The following is a 26,391-nucleotide window of genomic DNA, read 5'->3' on the forward strand; positions in this document are numbered from 1 at the left end:
TTCCCGGAAAAAATGACCTTGGGCCAGGACTGGCAATAGATCGGCTGGGATCCAGACAGCCTGGGTCCCCAGCGGCCCTGGGTGCTGCAGTCAGGGCGGAAATGGGCTCTCACCCCCTCTTGCACTCGCATCCGAGGGAGTAACCCTGCATTTGGGACAAATCCAAATTAAACTAGACTCCCGAGAACTGCTCCTAGGTGATCCCTGAACCACATGGGTCTCCAGTGTCCAAGTGACCCTCTATCTCCCTCCCAACAAACCTGCCCCAGGGAGTTCTCTGGCCAAGGGGACATACGCGGGCTGGAGGGTTCACATCTTAGTTCGGTTGCTTCCTGGCTGGGTGACCTTGGACAGGTTGCTCCCCTGCTCTGAGACTCTGGGCAGCCTAATGATGTGATGCCCCAGCAGCCTTGGTGAGAGGTGAGGGGAGGAGGGGAATTGCAAAGCACCCAGCTCATGTTGGGCACCGCATAGATGACAGCCCCTTCCGGCTGCTGCTTTCCACCTGCCCTGCTGGGGATCAGCACACAGACTCCCCTATCCCTCCTTCCCCCGAGGCTGACAAGTGAACAGACCCACAGCCTGGCTCCTTCTCCATGATCTGCTTGCTCCATGGTGAGATGGCCCAAGGTAGCAGCCAGAGCCCTGGATGAGGAGCCAGGAGATTGGGTTCTGGTCCCAGATTTGCTGCTGGCTGTGCAACCTGGGAGAAGTCACCTTCCCTCTCTGGGCCCTGCAATCGCTCCCTTCGTCCTTCCATACACGCCACGCCCACACCACTGTTCAGCTCTCCCTCCTTTGGAGCCTACAGTAGCTTGTTCATTGCCAGGAAATGGTCTACATAAGTCTGTCTGAACCATCAGATTAGGAGTGTCTGCAGGGCGGGTTATGTGTCACCAGTATGTAGCACCCAGCACAGGTCCTCCACACTGTCAGGCCTCAGAAAATGTGGGTGGATGGAACGGGATGGAGGTGGGACAGGGGTCTTCTTTGCCCATGTGACAGATGAGCACATGGGCCCAGGAGGCAGGGGAGGGGGACTTCCAAATGCAGAGCACTGGGCAGGCATTCCCTCCGTTCGTTTGCAGCACTGGGGACTGAGGCCCTGATGTCCAGCAACCAACATGGCCTAACACAGGGGCCAGAGCATCCCTTGTGTGGCACTGCCTGTGGTGACGACAATGGTGGCAGTGGCTGGGAAGGCGGCCGCGGTGGTGTGGGTGGGGGTGGCTCCAGTGCTGGCCATGATCCTGGCTCTGGCTCCTGAAATCAGACCTGCCCTGCAGTGATGGAGCCATTGCCCCTCCCATCACGCCCTCTGCCTCGGCAGCTTGAATGAGAATCAGACACAGATCTTTAGAGCTGCTTAGCATCTCAATACATTTGGTATTGGGTATTACCAAGTCACTCTCCTTAAACCATTCCCTTGCTCGAGAGAGGTGCCCTCACCACCACCCACCCACTCACACCCACACAATCCCCGCCCCCACACACAAGTCACTGTCACCCAGGCACTGGCTTGCTCTTTCTCTCTCTCATCTCTCTCATACACACACACACACACACACACACACACACACACACGCGCGCGCGCGCGCTCTCTCCCCCTCCTTCTCGTTCTGTCTGTCTGTCTCTCTAGAAAACACTGGCGTGCACAGAGTTCCTCCCATATGTGAGAATGCCGATGCATTGTCACCCCAACAAGGCAGAGTGGTGATACGGTTGTTTTTGAATATCAGGGACATTAACGCTCCTCTCTCTCATACCCAGCCGAGGCTTTCTCCCTCCTGCTCCCTGGGTGCGGCTTTGGGGCTGGGCAGGGAGAGGCGGGCAAAGGTCCTGTGAAGCCCGAAGACCAACTCTGTGCCAGGCATCCTTTTAATCTTCACAACCCTAAAGGACAGGGGGTGGTGGCCCCATTTTATAGATCTGGACTGAGGCTCAGAGAGGTAGAGTGAGCTCCCAAAGCCACACAGCACACAGGAAGGGTTAGGCATGGGGTTTTTATTAAACCAGGTCTGACTCCAGAGCTCCTTGCTGCCTCCCAACAGTCTAGAGACTTTCCTCAGCCGCTTCCTGGGAGCCCTGTCACCCTGGCTGTCCCCAGGGAGGGCCCCTGCACCGCCCCGTGTTCACACTTAGAAGTCAAGCCAGCTTTGACCCGTGGACTTGGCAGAACCTCCCTGCTCCACCCACTGAGATTTCGGCCTCTCCTCGGGGCCATGAGCTCCTTGACCTTCCCCATAGAAGTCTGAGGGGCCAGGGAAGGGTCAGCCAACCCACCTGGTAACCCCCAAATCAATAACCCAGCACCCACGTGGCACCTGCTCGGTCCTCAGTGCCGACCTGGCCCCTCACCCAGGTTTTCTCCATGCTTGGAGTCCTCCCCCTGCTGCCTGGCCCCAACTATCTCATGACTATGTGCTTGGGCTTTGGGACCAAACAGATCTGAGTGCGAATCCTGACTTGGCCACTTAATAGCTGTGGCATCTTGGACACGTCACGTTCCCCCCTCCTGCCTGATCCCCATTTACATAGAGACAATGTTGATAATAATAGAACTCGCTTCAAAGGATTGTTATTAAGATTAATAAGAATAGTGACTATTCTGTCATTTTATCCTAGATGCAGAGAGCCCTTGGAGGCCCTCCCCCATGCGGAGCAGCACCCCAGAGAGGTAACGTGATTTGCCTTAAGTCACACAGGCAGGCAGTGGCAAAGACAATCCAGCCTCAGTTCCAGGGCTGGGCCAGGCCTCAAGGAGGAGCCAGGGCCTCCCTTGTGGAGGGCAACCTGCCGGCCGGGCACTGACGAGCTGGTGTCCAGCGAGAGCAGAAGGGGCCCCTGCTCCCCAGGAGGGTGGTGAGAATCAAGGAGCCAGCTGAGGAATCCAGGTAGGATTCCAGCCCCAGCCAAGAGTGCCGCTGAGACAGACGAGGCTCTGGGACAGAGCTGACTTGGGCCAGGGGGCGGGGCAGGGGCGGGTGGCTTCCCTGAGGACTGGCTGCCTGAGCCAAGCTGAAGGAGGAGTGAGGGGTGGTGGGGAGGAGAGGCTGAAGGAGGGAGCAGTAGAGACAAAGGCCGTGTGCAAGGAGGGGCACAGTACCTTCCAGAAAGCTTGGGGAGGGAGAGGCGGGGACTGGAGAGGTGGTAGGGGCCAGACCCCGCCCCTCTCTCCCTGCACTTGCAGGTGTGATAAAGATTTGGGTCTTTATCCAGAGAGAGAGCGATGGAAAGCTCTGGAAAAGCTCCAATCAGGTCAGAGGAGGGGAGGGCAGGGGCAGGGCTGACCATGACCTTGTGCACTGAATGGCTTCCTGGCTGCAGTGTGGCTAGCGGCTGGAAGGGGCCAGAGGGTGTGCACAGAGGCCAGGGATGTGGCCACTGTAGCTGTCCCCGTGAGAGGTGAGGGAGGCTTAGAGCAGGCTGATGGCGGTGGAGATGGAGATCAGGCTGGAAGCATGGACACACTCCAGACATGTCCAGGTGGTATCAGCAACATGACTTGGGCTGTCCTGGCCACGTGGCTGGTGGAGAAGGAGGCACAGAGACAAAGAACAGTTTCCTGACTTGTGCAACTGGGCGGCCCATGGTGCTGGGAGAGGCCCAGGGCATCATCTGGGGCAAGGGCAGGTGGTGTTTGAAGGGCTGTGGAGGTGACAATGGGCTGTGCAGGGACTGTAATGGAGGTGATCTAGGGCTGTGCAGGGACTGGGAGATGAGCAGAGTGGAGGGGAGACCGGGAGAGAAGGAAATGGGGAGGCCGTGAGAACAGCAGTTTGCTGGAAGGGGAGGAGAGAGGGAGAAGGCAGGCGAGTGAGGGAGGCTTTCGTTCTGGTTTGTTAGGACAGGACAGACTTGAATGTGAAGGATGGAGCAGCCCAGACCTCTGAGGCCCCTTCCCATCCAGTCATCTTTCCACTCTGCTCTGCTGCTTGCTTAGTGGTTCCAAACTGTGGACGTGATTGATTATGTGTAAACAGCAGGAAGCAATTAGTCTGTGCATGCCTGGCCATTAATAAGCCTCTTATGTATTTAGAACAACACCTCCCTTACCCTTCAACCCGAGAACAAATGTCTGGAGAACCGCCAGGAGTAAGCAGAAGAGACCTCTGGGCAGCCACACCATCGGCCCTAACCTCACACTCTACCCATAAGGCAGTTGCTCACTTATAGCCCATTGACTCTTACTCTACAAAAAATTCTAACAAGCATTCCTTTTTATTTTCAAAGTCCACAAGAGATAGAAACCACAATGCAGGAGGCAGTTAGAAACTGTCAGAGGCAGGAGACCTGCAGCAGACAGAAAAGGCAGCTGACAGCCTGAGGGAGAAGGAAGAGATAGAAACTCATTCAAGCCTGGGCGTTTCATGCCAGGGCAAATAAGTCCACCCAGCCCAGTGGCCCTGAAGGCACCTCTGTCTCATACTCCACAAGCAGGGGCTTGGACGAACTCTAGGTCTTTTTCCACATCAAGATTCAGTGATTCTTGGTTCATAGTCATGACTCTCAACCGCTAAGAATAGGCTAAATCACATTCAGTACTTGAAGCCTAAAAAGGACTTTTTTGGGCTGGGCGCGGTGGCTCATGCCTGTAATCCCAGCACTTTGGGAGGCCAAGGCAGGTGGATCACTTGAAGTCAGGAGTTCGAGACCAGCCTGGCCAACATGGTGAAGCCCCATCTCTGCCAAAAATATAAAAAAGTAGCTGGATATGGTGGCACACACCTGTAATCCCAACTACTCAGGAGGCTGAGGCAGGAGAATTGTTTAAACCCGGGGGGGTGGAGGTTGCAGTGAGCCCAGATCATGCCACTGCACTTCAGCCTGGGTGACAAGAGCAAAACTCTGTCTCAAAAAAAAAAAAAAGGACTTTTTTGGAGATAACATTTTAAATTGTACGTTTTAAGTTTTGGTGCCTTATAGTTTCTGAAGCATTCCCTTATGTGGAAGGGGGTTTTGTAATTGCCTATTTAATTATCCTGTTAGACGGAAATGCTGTGAGAACAAGGCCTGTGTCTGTGTGGCTCGCTGTCCTCTTCCAGCACCTGGCACGGTGCTACAGGGGGTGCCCGGCGCACATTTGTTGAATGAGTGAATTTAGTAATAAATTAATATTACATACCAGGCACCACTCAATCAACAAACATATTCTTACATCTAATTTCACCTATTTCTTTCTTTCTTTTTTTTTTTTTTTTTTTTTTTTGAGATGGAGTCTCACTGTTATAACCCAGGCTGGAGTGCAATGGCACGATCTTGGCTCACTGCAACCTCTGTCTCCTGGGTTCAAGTGATTTTCCTGCCTCAGCCTCCCGAGTAGCTGGGATTACAGATGCCCATTCCCATGCCCGGCTAATTTTTGTATTTTTAGTAGAGATGGGGTTTCACCACGTTGGCCAGGCTGGTCTTGAACTCCTGACCCCAGGTGATCCTCCTGCCTCGGCCTCCCAAAGTGCTGGGATTACAGGTGTGAACCACCGCGCCCAGCCTTCTTTTTACTTTTTAATGTGATGCTAACCACATTTTAAATTACATATGTGGCACACACCACTGTCTTTCTATCAGACGGGACAGTCTTAGACCCTTCTGCCCTGACTCTAGAGGCAAAGTACAAAGTTTAAACACATTCCCTGTGGTCTGCGTGGAACTCTCCCACGCAACATAAGCTACTTCCTCACTTGTTTCTGGCTGGGACACTTCAAGGGCAAAGTCAGAACTTATTACCAGGGAACCCCAGCAGCAGCCCGGTGGAGTGCCAGTGCCAAGCTCCATTCCCCTTGCAACTCCGGAAAACAGCTGGAGAAGGAACCTTATAGGTGGAAAAGCAGAGTCCCTAAGCGGGAAAGCAACATGGGCCTCGTGTTAGGAGTAGGTCTCTTCCAAGATCTCCGATGACTCCACCTTCCAGCCAGAGGAGAGGGAGAGATTTAGATGCCAGTGTCCGGAAAGCCCTGTCCCCTTTGAGACCCCTCACAGAGTGAACCAAGCCTGCTCTGGGATGTGGGGTGGGAGTTTCGAGACAGCTTGGGTGGGCAACAGGAGATCCAGGCCGAGGGCAGGGTGGCTCAAGGATGGGTGAAGATTTAACCACTCACCACTGCCCCGACTTGACCCCTCACACTCCTACACATCTGTCTTCTACCAGAACATCTTTTCTACCTGGGCCTAAAATGGCACCCGGCCTAGTTCGCCCGCAGAGCGCAGAGCCGCTGGGCTTCAGTCCCCTCCTCTAGCACGTAACCATGCCTTCCAATCTTAGATCTCGTTATAGGTTTCCAAACACGTTTGCATCTGTGAACTCACTTACGCTTCACAGCAACCCTGTGAGTTGTTGGCATTATCCTCATTTTATAACTGGAGAAACTGAGGCTCAGAAAGGTGAAGTGAGGAGAGATACATCTGGGAGCGTCTGCACATAGACGAGGCTTGTCTGATGTTCTTTGCAATTACTCTTCCCCCTTCCAGAAGGAAAAGACATGGGTCAGGGAGGAGTTGAAAGTGGGGAAGGACTGACTCAGAGGCTGCCCTGCTCTGCCAAGCCCAGCTCTGCCCACCGCTGCCCCCAGCTTGCCTGTTTTGTAGAACAAGGTCCCGATGTACTGATGGGAGAGGGAAAGCACTGTTCAGATTCACCTCTAGGGTTCAGGCCAAACCCACTTGGCAGGTACAGCTAGCACACCTGAACAGCTATCCAACTGTCCTGTAACTCTAGCCATGCTCACCTGGCATACTTGGCCTGCAGAGTGTGGCCCTTTTAGACAGCTGCTCATTCAGTCATTCAGCAAACGTTCCTGCAGCGTCTACAGTGCACCAGGAGGACCCAGCGGGACCCAGCCAGGACCCTGCCATGGACTCTGCTCTCAAGCAGTTCAGAATCCAGTTGGGGAGAGGAGACAAAAGAAGCCGCAAGCATCAGGGATTCCACCCATGCACCTCACAGGGCTCCCTGTCCATCAGTCCTCTCAAATCTCATTGCGCTTCTCTTTAAAATGGGTGAAATCTATGCATTGCGGGGATTCAATGAGAAAAGGCATTCCGAGTCCAGCCTGGATGGTGTTCGCAGTGCTGTGGTGGAGCTGGGGAAGATTCGCCTCAGCGGGGAGCCTGCCCCAGTCCTCCTCTGAGGCTCTCCCCACAGCCCTGTACTGCTTGACCCTTCAGGGAGGATGGAAGGTCAAGTAAACAGATGCAAGGTCAACTGTCTTCCTATGGAACTGTCATGTCCCCAAGAGCCCAGTGAGATCACCTGCCCCTCTAAGAGTTTCTTCCTTCCCATTGGCAGATGGGCAAGTTGCCCCTTTGAAACCCAGAACAGCAGAGGGGAGGGGTGGGAGAGAGAGACCCCAGGGAGAGGGCACACCTCGGCTGGGGCATCCTGGGAGTTTCACAGGGGGCAGGGAGACAGCTGAAAGCATGCTGCTCTTAGCATTCCACGGAACATTGGCAAAATGAATTCCTTATTTTGCTAAAGAGCTTTGGAATGTAGAGCAGACTTCTGACTCAGAACCATCCCTCATGCCCACCAAGTCCCTCAAGGACTCCCCAGGTCCAGAAAACTTGGCTTTCTTCAGTTTCCTCACCTACAGAATGGGCAAAACCCAGATTTGGTTGGCTTCACATACATGTGGGGATGCAGATCCCCAACCGCCAGCAAAGCCTCTCTCCACCAACAAATCTTTCTGTGAGCCTGGGATGGAGTAGGGGATGTCCAGGAGTGCTTGTGACTGTGTTCTGCATACTGTCTGCATTTTTTTCTTTTTCTTTTCTTTTTTGAGATAGGGTCTTGCTCTGTCTCCCTGGCGGGAATACAATGGCACAATCACGGCTCACTAATGGCTCGCTGCAGCCTCAGCCTCCCAAGCAATCCTTCTGCCTCAGCCTCCTGAGTAGCTGGGGCCACAGGTGTGCACCACCACGCCCAGCTAATTTTTAAACAACTTTTTGTTGAGATGAGGTCTTGCCATGTTGCTCAGATTGGTCTCAAATTCCTAGGCTCAAGCGATCCTCCTGCCTCTGCCTCCCAAAGTGCTGGGATTACAGGCATGAGCCACCGTGCCTCGCCTTGTCTGCGTTTTTCCGCCTCTCATCTGCCCACTTCTCTGACACCCCAGGAGTGAGTTCCCAGCCATGGATTCTTCCATCTGATGAGCCTTGAAGCACAGCCCGGAGGCCTGTGGGCTACGGCCACCCTACTCACAGGTCTGCCTACACTATGGTGTTATTAAAATGTTTACATTAGCTGCCAACCTTAAAAATCAAGACGTAACACAAATAAGTTCCAGATAGACAACTTTTTCTTGAAAATGCAGAAAACTGGACACACATCTCCACCAGCAATGTTGGCTGGATCTGGGTACACTCTCCTAGCAGGCTCTGTAAGGGTGCCTGCCTATCTCATGTAGGCATTTGAGTTTGCCACTCTGGGTCTAGTCCAATCTGCTTTGTACTCACCTGCCCTCTTACAGCATCTCTGAACAATTTCTAGCTAGTATCTGCTTAAATGCCTCTGGTCACAGGAGTCTCACTACATCAGTGAGGCAGTCCACCTGAGCTGCGAGGAAGGGGCTCCTATGGAACTGTCTTCCCCCTTTCTGTAGCAAAAAAAAAGACACAGAGGAAAGAAACGGGCGTTGGAGCCAAGCAGCTGTGGATCTGAGTACCTCTCTAGCATTCAACCAGCTGTGTGATCTAAGGCAAATGATGGCCTTTCTGAGCTTCTGTTTCCTTAGGTGTGCCAGCCCTGCAAGGCTGTGTGAGGCTTAAACTGGAGCGAGTTTATAAAGCCCCTAGAGCAGGGTCTGACTCAGGGCACATGTTCCCCAAATGGCCTTTCTCATCCTATGTAACTTCCAGCCATGGCTCCAATTCTCCTCACCCCCCAGTGACCATGAGAGCTGGGAACGAAGGAAGAGGGGACTGGACGATGGTCTGTGCCAGGCGGCAGTGGGAAGCAATCAGGCACTTGCTCCCGTGGGCATCCACCCTCTCAGGAGGCTGCAGGTCTCTTGCCTGCTTCTCGGACTGCTTGGCCCACCAGGTGTGTGAGGGACTTGAGGGTGGCAGAGCAGGCCCCAGGATGCAGCCCTATATCCCTGTCCTCCCCTCACAGCCCAAAGCCATCCCTGGATGAGACCCCTAGTCCTGGGGGATGGAACTGGAGACAGGGAAGGTCAGGGGAGGGAAAAGCAGGGAATGATAGTCCCCCTCACTGGATAACAGCTCCCATGACCGGCCACCTGGCTGTGTGCCCGGCCGTCTGCCAGGAGTTCCACCTGGGCCCTTTCACGCCACCCTAGGATATCGATACTGGTATTCTTGTTTTACAGACATGAAGTTTTAGACTCAGAGAGCTTAAGAAACTTGCCTAAGGCCACACAGCAGGACACTTGTCTTCCTGGTCCCTGAGCCTGCCCTCCTGACCACTGCAATCTAAGGCCTCCTTAAAATCCCGTGGTCCCTAAATGCCAAGTTGTTGGGGTGGGGAAAGGGAGAGAGTTTTGGTTTTGGTGTTTTTTTGGTTTTTCACCTAAAAGTGCCTCTGAGTTTGCCGCTGAGCCCATCTCTGAGCCTCTGCCCATGAACTAGTGTGTATCCATCGGAGTGTGTCACCACGCGAAGCACTCGGTGTTGGGGTCATGCGGGCAGGAGCGAGCATGCGGTGGATGTGCGGCCCGCGCGTGTGTCCACAGAGGGAATCCCTGGGTGGGTCTGGTCCTGGTGTCGCCGGGACGTCCCGATGGTGGCTTCGCGCACTGGGGCCCTGAGCCCTGAGTCCAAGTGCGCAGCGCGGGGCGCGCCCCCGAAGGTGCCCGCCGGGGGAGTGTGGGCGTGCGCACGTGCGGCGGCGGTGGCCGCGGGCCGGGTGGCCGCGGTGCGGGCTCCGTGTCCCCCACCCCCCCGCCTCGGTGCTGATTGGCTCGGCGCCGTGACGGGCCGGCCCCCGCCCGGGGCGGCGGCGGCGGCGGCGGGCGCGGGTGCCCGCGTGTGCGCTGGGAGCCGCGTGTGCGCCGGGGTGTGCGCCCGGCCGGGTGTGCGGAGAGCGAGGGAGCGCGCTCCCTCCCGACGCGCGGGCCGCAGCGGCCAAGCCCGAGGGTGCGTGGCGCCCCCGCCCGCCCGGCCCGGCCCGGCCATGGCCCCCGCCCGGGGCCGCCTGCCCCCTGCGCTCTGGGTCGTCACGGCCGCGGCGGCGGCGGCCACCTGCGTGTCCGCGGCGCGCGGCGAAGGTGAGCGGCGGCGGCGGGGCGGGGCAGGGGCGGCCGAGGGGCGCGGGGCGCGGCGCGCGCTGCCTGCGGCTCAACTTCCTTTGCATGGACCCTGAGCTCCAAGGCGGCCGGGATCCCTCGGCCCGGGGGGCGGGGTGGCACCGCGGAAGAGACCCGGGATTAAGGGACAGAGCGGTGGAGATGGGAACCCGCGAGCTTGAGGAAGACGGACAGGTACCGGGGACTGGGGGACAGTGGGAAAGGACAGGAGACAGGACTGAGGGATGTGCAGCTGGGGACAGAATACTGAGGGTCGGACGCCGGGGACAAGGGGACAGGACTGGACAGAAGACAAGAGAAGAGGTAAGGAGGAGAGGGTACAGTGAGGTAGGGCAAGGAACAGGGTTGGGGACAGAGGACAGGGGGGTAGGCACTGGGGTTGGAGGGACAGGAGAATGGGGGAGGAGGTTCAGAGGGCAGAAGGCAAAGGGGGTGGGGACAGCATTGAGAGATAGGAGCCAGGCGCTGAGAAACGGGACCCCGGAGAGCAGGACTGGCTTTGAGGGGAGGCAGGAAGGAGGGGTGCGGAATGAGAGTCTGGGAGAGGGGTCAGGGCCCGAGGGCCACAGTCTGGCGACGGGCTGGGGAGAAGAAGGGAGGGCAGGGGAGTTCCAGCTGGAGGAGAGGCAGCTTCGTGGGCAGCGGGAGCGGCTTGGGGAGGAGAGGGCTGGGGGATGGGGAGGCCACAGAGAGATTGAGGCAGGCAGGCCCCGGAGAGCAAAGTCTTGTCAGAGAAGGCTGGGATGGCAGGGTCACTCTGGGGCCCTGTGTGGGAGGAAGGATTGGGGTGGGGAGGTGCACTGAGTCGTTGGGACCAAAAAGGTCTGGGAAATGACTTCTGGTGGTGGGGGCACAAGAAGAGCTGAGAGGGAGCACCTAAGCCTGCCACCCACACACCCGTTAGCTCCCTGGAGACCCCAGCTCCATCCAGCTCAGGAGGTTTCCCTGGGTCCCACTCCCCACACCCCAACCCCTGCCCTGACCCTCCTCTGTTCCCACAGCTCTGCCCCAAGGAAGCCAGAGCGTCTCTGTGCAGGCTCCCAGGGCTGATGTCCAGGGACCAGAGCTGGGTCCTCACCCTGCCAAGATGAACTTCCAGGTGTAAGCGAACTCCGGAGCTGGTGCTGCTCTTCCACGCCCAGACAGATCACACATCTGCCCTTCACACACAGCTCACCGAGGGCCCACCCTACACACAAGCACACACACAGGCTACTTGGGATTCACACTTGTGACCCAGGCCTGTAGAGACTGACATGTGCGGTCAGTCTCCCCACCCCACATAACATCCACAGCCACACACACAGAAATGAAGCCAGTATGCATGAGCACAAACACACATGTACATGCACGTACAGATGCATGCACATGAAAATACGCAACTCTGTGTCTACATATATACATCACACCACATATGTAAGGAGCCCGTCGTTTGCATCCATGCCCACGGAAATGCATGTGCACCAACAAACACACACAGACACAGATAAAATCATAGTCTCCCATGAGCCCAGGGCCCAGCATGGAGGAGAGGCACGGCAGGGTGGCCGAGAAGTGAGATGCCGGCAGAGCAGGGCCGGGTGGGTGTAACAAGGCACAGGTTCCCGGGGCACCAGGAGAGGTCTGGGGTTGGGGGGTGCTGGGGAGTAGGAAAGGGGGCAAGATTGGAATCTAAGAGGCCTTGGGGCCCTGGGAGCTGCACCCGAGAAGACGGCTTTCTGAGGGTGGGTGGAGGGAAGGGGACAGTTCGTTTGCCCAGCAGGCTCTGAGGCCCCTCCATCGAGGCGCTGGGAGTCAGGTGGTGCACCCCCAACCCCCTGCCTCAACTCTCTTCTCTGGGAAGGAGCCAGCACCCTCTGGAATCACAGGCTGGTAGCCCCAGAGCCCCTCGAAGAGGGGGCTTGGACCAGGCTCATGTGCTGAGGACAAAGCATGGGTCTGGGGAGGGGACCTGTGCAGTGGGTGGGGGCCAGCAGCTGAGGAAGAGGCAAGGTCTAGAGAGAGAGGCAGGTGGGGAAGTCTGTGTCCATGGTGAAGGGAGGCATAGCCCAAGGGCGAGAGTCCACGCCCTCTCCGATCAATGCAGCAGGGTACCCACAGCCAGGCACAGGTTACCCACACGAGTCAGACAGCCATGGGGTGGAGACCTGGGACCTGAGTTCCATGTGGCGCATCTGGGAGTCCTCCCCAGCACTGTCCCTGGGCTGGTCTAGAGCAACCAGAGCCAGCTGAGGGGACTGTTGGAACTCAGGGAGGGGCCTGTGCTCCCAGCTGGGTCTAGCAAAGGTAACAGGACCTTAGCCTGGCCAAACAACAGTCCACTCAACAGTCCCCTACAACAGGCCACTCTCAGAGCTTTTGCTGGGGCACCCGTGGGCCCAGGAAGGGCCCTGCACCTGCAGAGACGCCCCCCGGACCCCTGCCAGGCCCAAGGCTGCTTATTGCTCTCTGGTGTGGCTTATCCTCCACTTTGAGGTGATCTCCAAGGCATTCAGAATCCTGGCTGACGTCCCCTGGCCACCCCGAATTCTCCAGCCTCACCATCATGCGCTGCGTCCTCAGGGAATGTAAATCAATTTAAGTATTAGTCTCAGCGAAATGGAATGGGGGAAGGCGACGGTGCTGGAGAAAAAAAGAAATCGCATAATGCCTTCCACAGTCGAACAGGAACGGCTTAGGAGTTATCTGTGCTTCCCAGAGCAGGAGAGGGACCCGTTTGATCCCCCCAGAACAGCCCGGGCAGATAGGCCTAGGAGGGATGCCTATGGACATCTTTCAGATAAGGAAACTGAGGCAGAGGGGTTAAGTGCTTCGCTTCACTGAAGGGCCCTAGGAGACCATGGAGTCCGATCCCCGTGTTTGGTAAGCGGGGAGATGGGCCCACAGGGGAGAATTGGCTTCACAGTCCGGCAGCGCAAGAGGCAGGAGAGAGGCCAGCTGCGGTGACCAGAGGGTCTGAATTCCCAAGGGGACCCAGGCCCAGGCTGGGTGGGCCTAATGGTGGCGTTCTCTTCAGCACTCATCAAACCTCCTATGGACTTGGGGCTTCCTTCAAGGGACACTCTGCGTTCTCACCCATTCAAGGGGACATGGATGGGGAAGGTGGAGATGGGGACAGAGGAAGAGGAGGGAGGGGAGGGACATAGAAGGGTCTGGAATGAATTGGAACAAACAGCCCTGGAATCCCATAGCCCTTCCTGAGTCCGATAGAATTGACTTTTGACTTATCTTTGGATTATCTGATCCCCCTGGCTGGTTGATCAAGAATCAGCTGCAGATACGGTGGGGCTTCCCCCAGGAGGGCAGGGCCTGGAGAGCGGTGTCTGCAGGCCCTGAAGCCTGCACGCTCCAGGGCGAGAATCCTAAGCAGTGGACATCCACTTGAGTGGCTCCGGGATAGGGACAGGTCTGGGCTGCATCCAGGCCAGGTCACAGAAGGGGCCCAGTCACCCCGAGACCTGTGTCTGGGATGCGGGGTGGGGCGGGGGGACCCATACGTGTGTGTCCTTCCCTCACCATCTCCCCAAACTCGGCTTTGCTGGTCTGGGGGAAACTGCAGTGCGGCCCCCTCCCCCTCCCACCAGCCAGCAGGAGGAGAGAGCTTGCCTGACCCAGTTTTCTCTACATTGCCTGAGAGGGAGGGAGGCAGGCGGGAAGCCTTCTCTCTGCCTCTGCCCCTGGCGTGGGGCCGGCTTGGGGAGGGGGAGGTCCCTCTGCGGACATTCGCTGTGTCCCCTGATCCCAAGTGGCCCCTGGGGACCCAGGGAGGAATGCAGGGAGGAGCGCGGAGACCCCCTCCCTAGTTCTGCCAGCCTCACTCCAGCCGGCCTCCTTCAGGGTCCCTGACGGTGGGGTGGGGAGGGTGAGAGGCAGGAGAAAATCAGCAAATAAGAGCATCCTCACTCCAGCATTTCCTGAGGACACTTGTCTCTGTCTTCGAGGGGCAGGCTTAGAGCTATGCAAATCTCAGGCAGAAGGACACCCAGCCTCCCCACGGGAAAGTTCCAGGAGAGCTCCACCTTTAACCCCCGTCACCTGCCCAAGCCCGCTGATTGGGGTGGTTAAAAGCCCATGGCTGTTGGCTGGGAGAAGGGGTCATGGAAGGCAGAGTGAAAGGGAAAGCTGTGGGACTCTGGAGCCAAAAGCCCTCTCATACAGCAATCACCAGCTAGATCAAAAGGAAGCAAAGAGGTGAAGGGACTTAACCAAGGACACACAGCAGTTAGAGACGGCTGAAGCCGGAGCCCTGATTTCTAAACAGCATAATGCATCTGTTTCACCTTAAGTGAGGGTGTGACCACAAGGGACATGGAGAGAGGCAGGGGGCGGGGGACTTAGAGAAGGGGAACTAGTGTTGGTAAGGACCAGCCCTGGCTCCAGGCTTCACGTAATTTCCTGACCCTCATCCCACCCTTAGGTACTATGAACCCATTTTACAGATGAGAAAATTGAGGGTCACTCGCTAATAAGTAGCTGCCTTGAGACATGGGCCCAGGAATGTCTGACCCCCCAGATGGGCTCTTTTCCCTACCATGTTGAGCCTGCAGGGTCCCCTTTGCAGAGGGCCTGACTTAGAGTGACTTTGCCCTTTGGACCAGTGCTCCTTCCCTGCCGTGGAGACTACCCAGAGGTTCTGTTTCTCGGGCCCGAGCATCCAGGGATGGTGGATGGCCTGCCGTTGCTACAGCAAGTGCTCCGAATGGCAGCTCCGCCAGCTACACCTGTGGGGCTCTTGGCACATTCCCGGACCTCCCTGAGGCTCGGTTCTTTTATCTGTAAAATGGAGGTAATACTGGCCGCCTCTCAGGTTGTTGTGCGGGGTGCAGATGAGGCATCTCAAGCTCCCCTTGCAGATATTGGCACATAGTGGGTGCCCACTAAGAGGCAGCTCTTACCCCGCTAAGCCCCTCCACACCAGATGTGCACGGAGGACGTGCTAAATGCCAGGCACCGTGCTGGGGGAACAGGGTGATTATGAAGCTGGGGCCAGTCCTCAGATGGGAGGTATGACTTTGCAGCATGGACCTTGAATGCCATCATGGCTCTTACAGGAGACAAGGGTCAGGTCATCATCACAAAAGCCCTGTGGGACCGGAATTGTTATCACCCCATTTTACAGAGGAGGAAGCTGAGACTCAGGGAGGTGAGGGGGCTTGCCCAGGGACTCACAGCTCCTAAGTGGCACAACTGGGATTCAGAGGCCTGCCAGCTTCGAGCCCACCTCAACTATCCCACTGTGCCACCAACCAAGGATGTCTGGCACTTGGAACAGCTTGTGTTCTGGGAGTTCAGAATATTACTTTTTGGCCAAGAGGGTGAGAAGAAGGCTTCAGGGAAGAGAAAGAACTTAAACTGGGCCTTCAAGGAGAGGGGAAGAGAGAAAGGGCATTCAGGCAGAGGGACCCGTGTGAGCTGTGTGCTGGGGGCTGAGTGTGGACCAGTGTAGCTGGGTCAGGCTGCTCTTGAGGAGCTGGGGAGAAGTCAGAGGGGCCTGATGCCCTCTTGTCTCCTGTTTTACAGTGAATTTGCTGGACACGTCGACCATCCACGGGGACTGGGGCTGGCTCACGTATCCGGCTCATGGGGTGAGTGATGGGCACTGGGGACAACGTCATCCCTCTGTGAGCAGAGAGAGGCTGCCACTCACAGAGTCTGCATGAGATAGATCAAAAGGAAGCAGAGGCCCAGAGAGGTCAAGGGACTTACCCAAGGGCACACAGCAGTTAGTGCTGCTGATCTCTTAACAGTTTAGTGCATACAGACCCTTGAGATTACAGAACCAACCCTGGCACCAGATCCCTGATTCTTCAAGTCTGAGGCCCTAGGTCCGGGGATCCCCATGGCTGCATCCTACAGATTCATGAGGTGCCAGGCCAGGACTAAAGAAGGCCAGCCAGGCCTTCCTGCCTTCTGGGTTGCTCCCTCCCTCCCAGCTGCCCTGGCCTCACCAGTCCTCCGACCTCTGGAGTCTCTGCTTGTCTGTCTCCCCAATGTGGCCAAGCTCCCGGTCCTGGCCACAGACTCTGGACTCAGCCTTCAGGTCGCTGTGGGTCATGTGCTCACAGGCCGTGCCCCCATCCTCCTGGGGAAGGGCTGCAGTGAGCAGGCTGCACTGCCCCGTCCCTCTGCTTCTCTTCTCTGAATCCTGCGGGGGCAGGGCAGTAGAGTAGGAGTGAGCCCGCGAGCCTGGTGAGATCCCAGCTCTGCCCTTGACAAGCAGGTGGACTTGGGTCACCATTTCACCTCTCTGAGTCTCAGTTTCCCCATCTATAGAAAGGGACAAGTCTGTGATGACCTCCCAGGTCTGCGCCAGGGTGAGAGCAGATGACACAGTCTTGGCACCGAGTCTGGCACAGGGTGAGCCCTCGATGAACATAGGCTTTTATAATGATCATTAACATTGTTACTCACGTGTGTTCTCTCACACAGTTACTGTCACATGAACTTCCTCTCACCAGCGTGCTCAGAAACACACACATGCACACACACGCACGCATGTACACACACATGCACGCGCGTACACACACATGCACACGTGTGCGTGTACACACATGCACACACGCACATGCACATGCGTGGGTACACACATGCACACACGTGTGCGCGTACACACACGCGCGCGCGCATACGCACATATGCACACATCTCTGCCACAGGCACGAGCACATTGTGCATACTTGAGTTCTTTCATGTCCACGTTCAGCTTCTATGGCTCTGAGGACAGAAGAATAATAATATTAATAATGATGATGATAACGACACCAACAGGTAACATTTATGAAGGGCCTTTCTTGACTTTGGGTAGAGTTTTCATCTGGGCCTTTTGTGGGGGCCTGTGATTGGAAGTGTAGACACGGCCCCACTTCTCTCTCTCTGGGGGTCTGGTCACCAGGCAGCGGTGAGCTGAGCCTGTTATCAGCCCTCATGCACCGGGCTCCCGGGAGCTGGGGGCAGGCCACATGGCCCTGGCTCTCCAGGTCCCTGAGCCTGGAGGAAGCCCTCGTCACCTGACCCAGCACCACTGCCTGAGCGCGGACGCCAGGTTCTTGAGGTGTCCCTTTACCTCCCAGCCCATCAGTTCCCCACTCTGTAAAACACTCCTTGGTGTGGCTGTCTTCCCCGCGTGAGCGTGGTGTGGAAGGGCTTTGGTGCAGTGAGCTGGTCCCCCCGTGGCAGGGTTCCACCCATGAGGAGGTGGGTCCTGGTCCCTCCCTCACTGCATGGCGGTTGGCTGAGATGGCATTCCCCTGAGTCCCAGCAGCTAGGAGGGCACGCCTGGGCCCTGGCTGGCTCCGGGGTGTCTTTATCCCACTCAGAGCATCGGACTTGGTGTTTAGGGTAGTGAGGAATTGTCAGGGTTTTCAGCAGGTGGGGAGCATGGCTGGCCTCGTGTTTTGGACGCTCACACTGGCAGTCTCAGGTGGGTTTTCATGCGGGGCGCTATAATGCATAGCTCAGCGTTCTAGCATTGCATTTGCGAGTTAGAACAAATCAGGCAACTTAGATTCGCTGAGCTCTGAACAGGTCACAGGCGTAATCTCATCACTCCCCACAACCAATCCTTGAGGTGGGTGCAGCCACCACACTTCACAGGTGAGGAAGGTGAGGCTCAGGGCAGTGAGGAGTAATTTGCCCATCATCAAGCAGGTTCCAGCTGATGGCAAGCTGGGACTCAAACTTGGGTCTCTCTGGGCCCAGAGCCTGTGGTGAGTCCCTTCCGCCACCTTCGAACTGCAGGCAGCGAGGCCTACTCTGTGACCATTTCATGAGATGGGGAGGCAAGCCTGCACTCTCTGCTGAGGCAGGGACCACCTGCCATCTTCAGGGGGCCTGGAGACTGGGGTTTCTCGGAGAGGAGAGAAGGCTGGAATGAGATGCCTGATTTCCAAACTCTAGACCTTGAACCTGTGCCAGGCTAGCAGGTGAGGCATGCAGAGTCCCACATCCAGGAGGTCTGCAGAGGGGCCTGGGAATCTTCTGTTTAATTAGCTTTCCAGGGAGCCAGGCATGGTGGCTCACACCTGTAATCGTAGCATTTTAGGAGGCTTGCTTGCGACCAGGAGTTCGAGACCAGCCTGGGCAACATAGTGAGACCCTTTCTCTACAAAAAAAATTAAAATTAGCTGAGAGTGGTGGTGCACGCTTGTGGTCCCCGCTACTCAGGAGGCTGAGGTAGGAGGATCGCTTGAGCCTGGGAGGTCAAGGCTGCAGTGAGCCACTGTACTCCAGCCTGGGTAATGGAGAGAGATCTTGTCTCAAAAAATAAAAATAAAAAATAATAAGCTTTCCAGGTGATTCTCCTGCCCAGCTGGGAGGGGGAACCTCTGGAGATGGTCCTTGAGGTTCTATCCACCCCTCTGACTCTGGAGTCCATTCAGTAACTTGAGGACAAGGGTCACCCAGGGCAGTCTCCAGCCTCAGAAATGTTACCCGATTATCAGACAGGTGCAGAGCCTGAAGGGCCAGGGCACTGGGTCCTGATGAACGGGGGCTCCGCCTCCTGTAGTCAGTGTGATTCGGGCAGATTACTTACTTCGCCTCCACCTCCTCATTTATAACGTGGGGACAATCTTAGAACTGCTCTGTGCAGTGCCATCATTGGGCTGATAGATGAAAAGGCCATTTTACCAACGAGAAACTGAATACTCTCAGAGGCAAAGCAATTCTACGAAGACTGGGGGAGGTCTGGCCCAGACCCCCTGCTCTTCATCAGGCTGCGTCCTTCCCTCTGCTCCCGGGAACTTCCGCATGCTGGGACGTGCTCCGCCTGCTCTGGCTAATTAACATGGACTAACGAATGCTGCTTTAGGTAAGTGGGCAGGTTAATTTCCATTGTCTCACTGGATTCTCACCACGCCCTGGAGTAGATGGAAGGAGCAGGCATTTGCTACCCCATTTTACAGAAGAGAAGCCCAAGCCCCAGAGAAGGGATATGCCTCACCAAGCGCTGCACAGCTGGTTCGCTGCATTCTGATATGGGAGGAGGACAGAGTTGGGGGAGCAGCGTGCCAGAGTCAGTTTTTGGGCAGCGGAGATGAGAGTGGCACCCATCACGGGGTGGGGGTGCCCCAGGCAGAGAACAGGGCTGATTCTGCCCTTGCACCAGACCTCCAGGAGTCTGTGCCACTCTGGGCATCAGCAGCTCCCGGGGCTGGCAGGGCTAGGCCAGACCATTGGCCCCGGTGGGGCAGCTGGAGTAGACTCAGATGGAACTGATTAATTTATCCGGGTCCCTGGCAGGAAACAGACAGGGAGCAGCTGGCTGGCTCTTTGGTGCTCCATTAATTGTGACAATGACTTTAACCCCAGATGTGACGCTGTGCTGCTTGGAGCCTCTGACAGCAAAGCGGGGTGTGGAGCAGGGGTCCTTCTTGGGTCGGGGAGACTCGGAAGCCTAAACTCTTTCAGGTGAGGCTGGCGCTCCCTGGGGCCCCTTTGGAAGCAGGAAATCCTCCCGCATGGTCCCTGGAGGCAGGCGCGGTAGGCTGTGAAGATGCTGCCAGTTCAGTATAATATTAGGGCCATTCGTCAAGGGCCTTCCCGTGCCAGGCCTGAGCTAAGCACTTTGCAGAAATTTTCCCATTGCATCCTCTCAAACCTCGCTCAAGTGGGGCCTGTTTGAGTCCCATTTTACAGATGTGGGCACTGAGGATCAAGACGAGATTAGATGGAGGGGCTTGGGATGGGCAGAAAAAGACTTGAGATGCCCATGACCTTCTCTCTAGTGCTTGTGGAATAAGCCCAGAACTCCACAGGTTCTCAGAGCATCTGGTCATGAAGCCCCCCTCCCCCTTTAAGCAATAGGATCTCTAGTTCAAGGACAATTGAAAAAGGTCAAGGTGTTGCATGCGTGGAGGAACCAGGACAGGGGCCCAGAGACCAACCCCTCCCTCTGCCCTCATCCTCCAGCTCCTCCTCAGAGCCCTCATGAGTCCCTGAAGTCAGCTCAACAAGGGACTGCTCCTGGCCAGCCAGTGCTCAGCAGCCGAGGAAGCTAGGACTGTCCCCTCCCCTGTCTTCTGCAGACCTCCACCCTTGCAAGAAGGTCCTGCTTCATTGCAGTGCCAGGTTGACAGGTAAACTACAGATGCCCACACCCAGGAGGGCTGGGAAGGGGCCTGGGAGTCTTGCCCACCTGGATTCCCTCAGCTCATCACCCTGCACTGCCTAGTCTGGTGGACCCGGGGCACTTGAGGACAGGGAGTGTTCTTGGCATCTTTCTTTTTTTGAGACGGAGTCTCGCTGTGTCACCCAGGTTGGAGCGCAGTGGCACAATCTCAGCTCACTGCAAACTCCGTCCCCCGGGTTCACGCCATTCTCCTGCCTCAGCCTCCTGAGTAGCTGGGACTACAGGCGCCCGCCACCACGCCCGGCCAACTTTTTTGTATTTTTAGGAGAGACGGGGTTTCACTGTGTTAGCCAGGATGGTGTCGATCTCCTGACCTCGTGATCCGCCTGCCTCAGCGTCCCAAAGTGCTGGGATTACAGGCGTGAGCCACCGCGCCCGGCCAGGCATCTTTCTTTCTTTCTTGTTTATTCTGGTGAAATACACATAAGGTAAAGTTTACCGTCTTAACCCTTTTTAAGCGCACACCTTGGTGACATGTAGTGCATTCACATTGCTGTGTGGCCATCACCACCACCACTGCCAGAACTCCGTTCATCCTGCAAAACGGAAACTCCACACCCTTAAACAGTAACTGCCCCCTCCCTGCCAGCCCCTGGCAGCCAGCATTCTACTTTCTGTCTCTCTAAATCTGACTATCTAGGTACTGCGTATACATGGAATCCTAACTATTTGTTTTTTGTTTCTAGCTTATTTCATTTGGCATGTCTTTAAGGTGTATCAGAATTTCCTTCCCTTTTAAGGCTAATACTCCGTTGTAGGTATATGCCACATTTTGCTTATCTACTGGTTCATTGACGTACACTTGGGTTCCTTCTACGTTGTGGCTGTTGTGAATAATGCTGCTATGAATAGGGGTGTACAAATATCTTTTTGAGACCCTGCTTTCAATTCTTTGGGATATATACCCAGAAATGGGATTGCTAGATCATATGGTAATTCTATTTTAAACACTTTGAGAAGCTGCCATACTGTTTTCCACAGCAGCTGCACTATTTTACAATCCCACCCGTAATGCACAGGGTTCTAATTTCTCCACATCCTTGCCAACACTTATTATTATCATTTTTTTTTAAGAGGGAGTCTCGCTCTGTTGCTCAGGCTGGAGAACAGTAGTGCGATCTTGGCTCACTGCAATCCCTGCCTCCCAAGTTCAAGTGATTCTCCTGCTGCAGCCTCCCGAGTAGCTGGGATTATAGGCACCCGCCACTGCACCTGGCTAATTTTTCTATTTTTAGTAGAGACAGGGTTTCGCCATGTTGGCCAGGCTGGTCTTGAACTCCTGACCTCAGGTGATCCACCTGCTTCGGCCTCCCAAAGTGCTGGGATTACAGGCGTGAGCCACCGCACCTGGCCTTATTATTATTGTTTTTTATAACAGCCATCCTAATGCGTATGAAGTGGTATCTCATTGTGGTTTTGATTTGTATTTCCCTAATGATTAGTGATGCTGAGCATCTTTTCATGCACCATTTGGCCATCTGAATATTTTCTTTAGAGAAATGTCTGTTCAAGTCCTTTGCCCATTTTCTAATTGGACTGTTTCTTTTCTGTTGTTGTCGAGTTGTGGGAATTCTTTATGTATTCTGGATATTAATCCCTTATCAGCTACATGATTTGCACATAGCTTCCCCCATTTCCTGGGTTACCTTTTCACTCTGTTGAGAGTGTCTGGTTTATTTCGGAATCACTGATGCCCAGCCAGCAGGCAGCACAGAAGCAATTAACACTCAACTTTCTCACATCCTGGGATTCCCTTGAGTGGGACCCAGGCCAGCCCAGGGGAACAGCAAGAAGAGCAGGGTGGAGGGAGTCTGTGGATCAGGCAATCACTCAACAAGCAGCTGTGCAGGAGAGGCGGCTGAAGGATTTGAAGTGGGGGCAAGGCATAGTCTGGTTCATATATTAGAAAGATTCCTCTGGCAGCTGATATGGAAACTGGACTTGCTGACTTCCCCAGGCAAGTTCTCCCACTCTAAGAAAGATAGGAGGAGCCACAGAGAAATGAGGGCAGAGCTTTGGCATCAGACAGGACCGATTCCCGTCCAGCCATTGCTCGATAATGACATGACCTCAGATGTGTGGCTCACAGGTCAGAGCCTCTACTTCCTCATCTCAAGAGTTAGTAAATAACACTTCCCCTGAAGATCGTGGCCCTCTTCGAGATCATGTCTGCAGGGGGCCTGGCATCTAGTAGCCACCAGGAGGCCAGCTCCTTTGTCTTTTTTTTTGCCAGCGTCCCCAGCACAGAACACAGGGTCATTGGCAAAAGAGGGTGAGGTGCTGGCTCTGCTGTAGTGGCTGTGTTCTCTCTGCCCACAGTGGGACTCCATCAACGAGGTGGACGAGTCCTTCCAGCCCATCCACACGTACCAGGTTTGCAACGTCATGAGCCCCAACCAGAACAACTGGCTGCGCACGAGCTGGGTCCCCCGAGACGGCGCCCGGCGCGTCTATGCTGAGATCAAGTTTACCCTGCGCGACTGCAACAGCATGCCTGGTGTGCTGGGCACCTGCAAGGAGACCTTCAACCTCTACTACCTGGAGTCGGACCGCGACCTGGGGGCCAGCACACAAGAAAGCCAGTTCCTCAAAATCGACACCATTGCGGCCGACGAGAGCTTCACAGGTGCCGACCTTGGTGTGCGGCGTCTCAAGCTCAACACGGAGGTGCGCAGTGTGGGTCCCCTCAGCAAGCGCGGCTTCTACCTGGCCTTCCAGGACATAGGTGCCTGCCTGGCCATCCTCTCTCTCCGCATCTACTATAAGAAGTGCCCTGCCATGGTGCGCAATCTGGCTGCCTTCTCGGAGGCAGTGACGGGGGCCGACTCGTCCTCACTGGTGGAGGTGAGGGGCCAGTGCGTGCGGCACTCAGAGGAGCGGGACACACCCAAGATGTACTGCAGCGCGGAGGGCGAGTGGCTCGTGCCCATCGGCAAATGCGTGTGCAGTGCCGGCTACGAGGAGCGGCGGGATGCCTGTGTGGGTGAGCGCGCCATGGCCTGGGCATGGGTCAGCCGGCAGCGGTGCTTGGTCTTGGCAGGGCTGCCAGGGTGTAAGGGGGGACGTCAGAGCCCACAGGCACCTGAGTGACCCACACAGCCCCTGGGAAGATGGATAAACCTCCAGTGTTCCTACATCAGGAAATATGCGAGGCCACCTGTGTCCGTGTGTTGGGAAGGACGTGGGAGCAAGATGGGGGAGGGGAGAGGGAGGGAAACAGACCCCAGCGAGGCGGTGCCTTCTGTGGGAGGTACAGCTAAAGGCACCTGTGCAATTGGGTATGCTATGGGATTCCTACCCGGATTAGGGAGTGATACCATGGGCTAACTCAGGTCAGACATAGTTCTAAGCACTTTGCGAGTATTAACTCATTGAATCCTGGCCACTACACTATGACGTAGGAACTACTGTTATCCTGGTTTTATAGATGAGGAGAGACAGTGAGGCAAAGCAACTTGCCCAAGGTCATGCAGCTGGGGATGGCAGAGCTGGGATTTCAACTCAGAAGTCTGGCTCCAGAGTTGGTGCTCGAAACCGCTGAACTTCTAACCTGTAGGGTGGAGGGAAGTGGGACCGGGGCCCTGGGTGAATGAGCACACTGAGGGGTATGAAGCCAGGGACACCCAGGGAGTACAGTCTGGGTTGGGCCTGTCCCTGGGGCCCTGAACAGGCTGCTTCTGTTCAGGGGGATCTTATCAGGGACCTGTGTGAGAAGACAGGCAAGGGCCTTGTGGAGGAGGACAGTGAGAAGAGAGCCCCTGGGCCATGACTTAGGGTGGCAGCTGTACCCATAGGTGTGCTGCTGGGTTCCTGTGTCGGAGCAGGAGCAAGGCATGCAGACGAGGGAGCCTAGGCCCAGGTGGTGTGCATGAGTGTGTGTGTGCATGTGTGCGTGTGTGCGTAAGTGTATGTGTGCATGTGTGTGCATGTGTGCGTGTGTGCATGTATGTGTGCATGCGTATGTATGCATTGTGTGGGCCTGTGTTCATGAGTGTGTGCATGTGTGTGTATGTGTGCGTGAGTGTATGTGTGCGTGAGTGTATGTGTGCGAGTGTATGCATGTGTGTGCATGTGCGTATGTGTGCATGTGTGCATGTACACCTGTGTGTGCATGTGTATGTGTACATGTGTGCATGTGTATGTATGTGCATGTGTGTGCATGTGTGCATGAGTATGTATGCATGTGTGTGCATGTAGCGTCAGTGTATGCATGTGTGCGTGAGTGTATGCATGTGTGCATGTGTGTATGTGTGCGTGTGTGCATGAGTGTATGTGTGCATGTGTGTGCGTGCATGTGTGTGCGTGCGAGTGTGTGCGTGTGAGTGTGCATGTGTGTATGTGTGCATGTGTGTGTCTGTATACCCGTGTGTGCATGAGTGCATGTGTACGTGTGCATGAGTCTATGCCTGTGTGCATATGTATGCATGTGTGCATGAGTGTATGCATGTGTGTATGTGTGCGTGCATGTGTGCGTGCTTTAGTATATGTATGCATGTCTGCATGAGTGTATGCATGTCTGCATGTGTACGTATGTGTACGTGTGTGCATGTGTGCGAGTGTATGCATGTGTGTGCATGTGCATGAGTGTGTGCATGTGTGCATGAGTGCATTAGTGTATTATGCATGTGTGCATATGCGTGCATGTGTGCGTGAGTGTGCACATTTGTTAGTGTCTGCATGTGTGCATGAATGCGTGTGTGCATGTGTGCATGAGTGTATGTCTGCGTGTGTGCATGTGTGTATGTGTATGTGTGTGCATGTGAGTGTATGTATGCATTTGTGCATGAGTGTATGTGTGCCTGTGTGTGTATGTATATGCATGTGTGCATATGTGCAAGTGTATGTACGGATTTGTGCATGTGTGTGAATGTATGTGTACGTGTGGGCATATGTATGTGTGCGTGTGTGCATGTATGTGTACATGTGCATGCCTGTGTGTATATGCATGTGTGCATGCATGTGTGTATATGCACGTGTCCGTGTGTCCGTGTGTGCATGTGTGCATGTGTATGTATGCATGTGCGTTTATGTGTGCATGTGTGTATGTATGCATGTGTGTCCATGTGTATGTTCATGTGTGTGAGTGTATGTGTGCATGTGTATATGCATGTGTGTGCATATGTGCAAGAGTATGTATGCATGTGTGTGCATTTGTGCATGTATGTATGCATGTGTGTGCATGTGTACGTGCATGTGTGCATGTGTATGTGTGCATGTGTACGTGTATGTGTGCATGTGTGTGTGCATATGTGCAAGAGTGTATGTATGCATGTGTGTGCATGTGTGCGTGAATATATGTGTACCTGTGTGCATGTGTGTGTATGTATGCATGTGTGTGCATGTGAGTATATGTGTACATGTGCGTGCATGTGTCAGAGTGTATATATGCATGTGTGCATGCATGTGTACATGAGTGTATATATGCATGTGTCCATGTGTGCATGAGTGTATGTATGCGTGTGTGTATGTGTGCATGAGTGTATGTGTGCACTGTGTGCATGTGTTCATGAGTGTATGTATGTGTGCATGTGTTTGCATGTGTGCATGAGTGTATGTGTGCATGCGTGCATGCATGTATACGTGAGTGTATGTCTGCATGGTGTGCGCATGTGTGTGTGCATGTGGGGGAGTCTGTGCAGCCAGGCACCCCAAGAGTGGGGAACACTAAGCAAGCTTGTGTGGACAAACAGCAGGTGTCCAGCTGTTCCTGGTCTTGGCCAGGCTTCTCTCCGTCGTTTTCTTTGGTCTCATGAGTGGCTGGGCACATGGTGGCTCAGCCCCCCGGGCACAGTGAAGCCTGGCTGTTGAGATCATTGGATCCCCTGGACAGAGGAGGTGAAAGGGAGGAGGATGTTTATATGCAGGGATCAGAGAGACAAGAGCCTGTCCCCAGATACCCTTAGTGAAAACTGGAACGGGGCCCTTGTCAGCTGCTGGGAATATGCTTCTAGCCCTTTGCTGCTACTATACAGGCCCTGGGGCCACAGTGAGAGGGAC

At 55.3% G+C, this 26,391-nt stretch overlaps 1 protein-coding gene across 7 annotated transcripts in view, besides 6 other annotated features; it reads left to right on the forward strand.

Annotated features, from left to right (window-relative positions):
* Positions 427–1,060: an enhancer, noted in NCBI's record as "H3K4me1 hESC enhancer chr1:22880423-22881056 (GRCh37/hg19 assembly coordinates)". NCBI's record gives its function as "activates a minimal SCP1, AML or CMV promoter by ChIP-STARR-seq in primed H9 embryonic stem cells {active_cell/tissue: H9 hESC(primed)}" and the evidence as "EXISTENCE:reporter gene assay evidence [ECO:0000049][PMID:30033119]".
* Positions 1,757–2,340: an enhancer, noted in NCBI's record as "H3K4me1 hESC enhancer chr1:22881753-22882336 (GRCh37/hg19 assembly coordinates)". NCBI's record gives its function as "activates a minimal SCP1, AML or CMV promoter by ChIP-STARR-seq in primed H9 embryonic stem cells {active_cell/tissue: H9 hESC(primed)}" and the evidence as "EXISTENCE:reporter gene assay evidence [ECO:0000049][PMID:30033119]".
* Positions 2,923–3,504: an enhancer, noted in NCBI's record as "H3K4me1 hESC enhancer chr1:22882919-22883500 (GRCh37/hg19 assembly coordinates)". NCBI's record gives its function as "activates a minimal SCP1, AML or CMV promoter by ChIP-STARR-seq in naive H9 embryonic stem cells {active_cell/tissue: H9 hESC(naive)}" and the evidence as "EXISTENCE:reporter gene assay evidence [ECO:0000049][PMID:30033119]".
* Positions 3,505–4,086: an enhancer, noted in NCBI's record as "H3K4me1 hESC enhancer chr1:22883501-22884082 (GRCh37/hg19 assembly coordinates)". NCBI's record gives its function as "activates a minimal SCP1, AML or CMV promoter by ChIP-STARR-seq in naive H9 embryonic stem cells {active_cell/tissue: H9 hESC(naive)}" and the evidence as "EXISTENCE:reporter gene assay evidence [ECO:0000049][PMID:30033119]".
* EPHA8 (EPH receptor A8) overlaps positions 9,986–26,391 on the forward strand; it is a 40,107-nt gene continuing 23,701 nt past the window's right edge. For 3 of the 7 annotated variants that reach the window (XR_946576.3, NM_020526.5, NM_001006943.3), the window contains exons 1-3: positions 9,986–10,226; positions 15,786–15,850; positions 22,714–23,377. Coding sequence is in view for 6 of the 7 variants with exons in the window: in NM_020526.5 (NP_065387.1) it covers positions 10,133–10,226; positions 15,786–15,850; positions 22,714–23,377 (823 nt within the window). In the remaining variant the exon portion in view is untranslated. Of the gene's footprint in view, positions 10,227–10,323; positions 10,440–15,785; positions 15,851–19,574; positions 19,674–20,174; positions 20,342–20,739; positions 20,823–22,713; positions 23,378–26,391 lie in introns of those variants that run through there. The other 4 variants (XM_011540969.2, XM_011540972.2, XM_011540970.2 and 1 more) reach the window with 4 other exon arrangements.
* Positions 10,524–11,024: an enhancer, noted in NCBI's record as "H3K4me1 hESC enhancer chr1:22890520-22891020 (GRCh37/hg19 assembly coordinates)". NCBI's record gives its function as "activates a minimal SCP1, AML or CMV promoter by ChIP-STARR-seq in naive H9 embryonic stem cells {active_cell/tissue: H9 hESC(naive)}" and the evidence as "EXISTENCE:reporter gene assay evidence [ECO:0000049][PMID:30033119]".
* Positions 18,753–19,312: an enhancer, noted in NCBI's record as "H3K4me1 hESC enhancer chr1:22898749-22899308 (GRCh37/hg19 assembly coordinates)". NCBI's record gives its function as "activates a minimal SCP1, AML or CMV promoter by ChIP-STARR-seq in naive H9 embryonic stem cells {active_cell/tissue: H9 hESC(naive)}" and the evidence as "EXISTENCE:reporter gene assay evidence [ECO:0000049][PMID:30033119]".

Source organism: Homo sapiens, chromosome 1 (assembly GCF_000001405.40).
Source record: "Homo sapiens chromosome 1, GRCh38.p14 Primary Assembly".
NCBI lineage: Eukaryota > Metazoa > Chordata > Mammalia > Primates > Hominidae > Homo > Homo sapiens.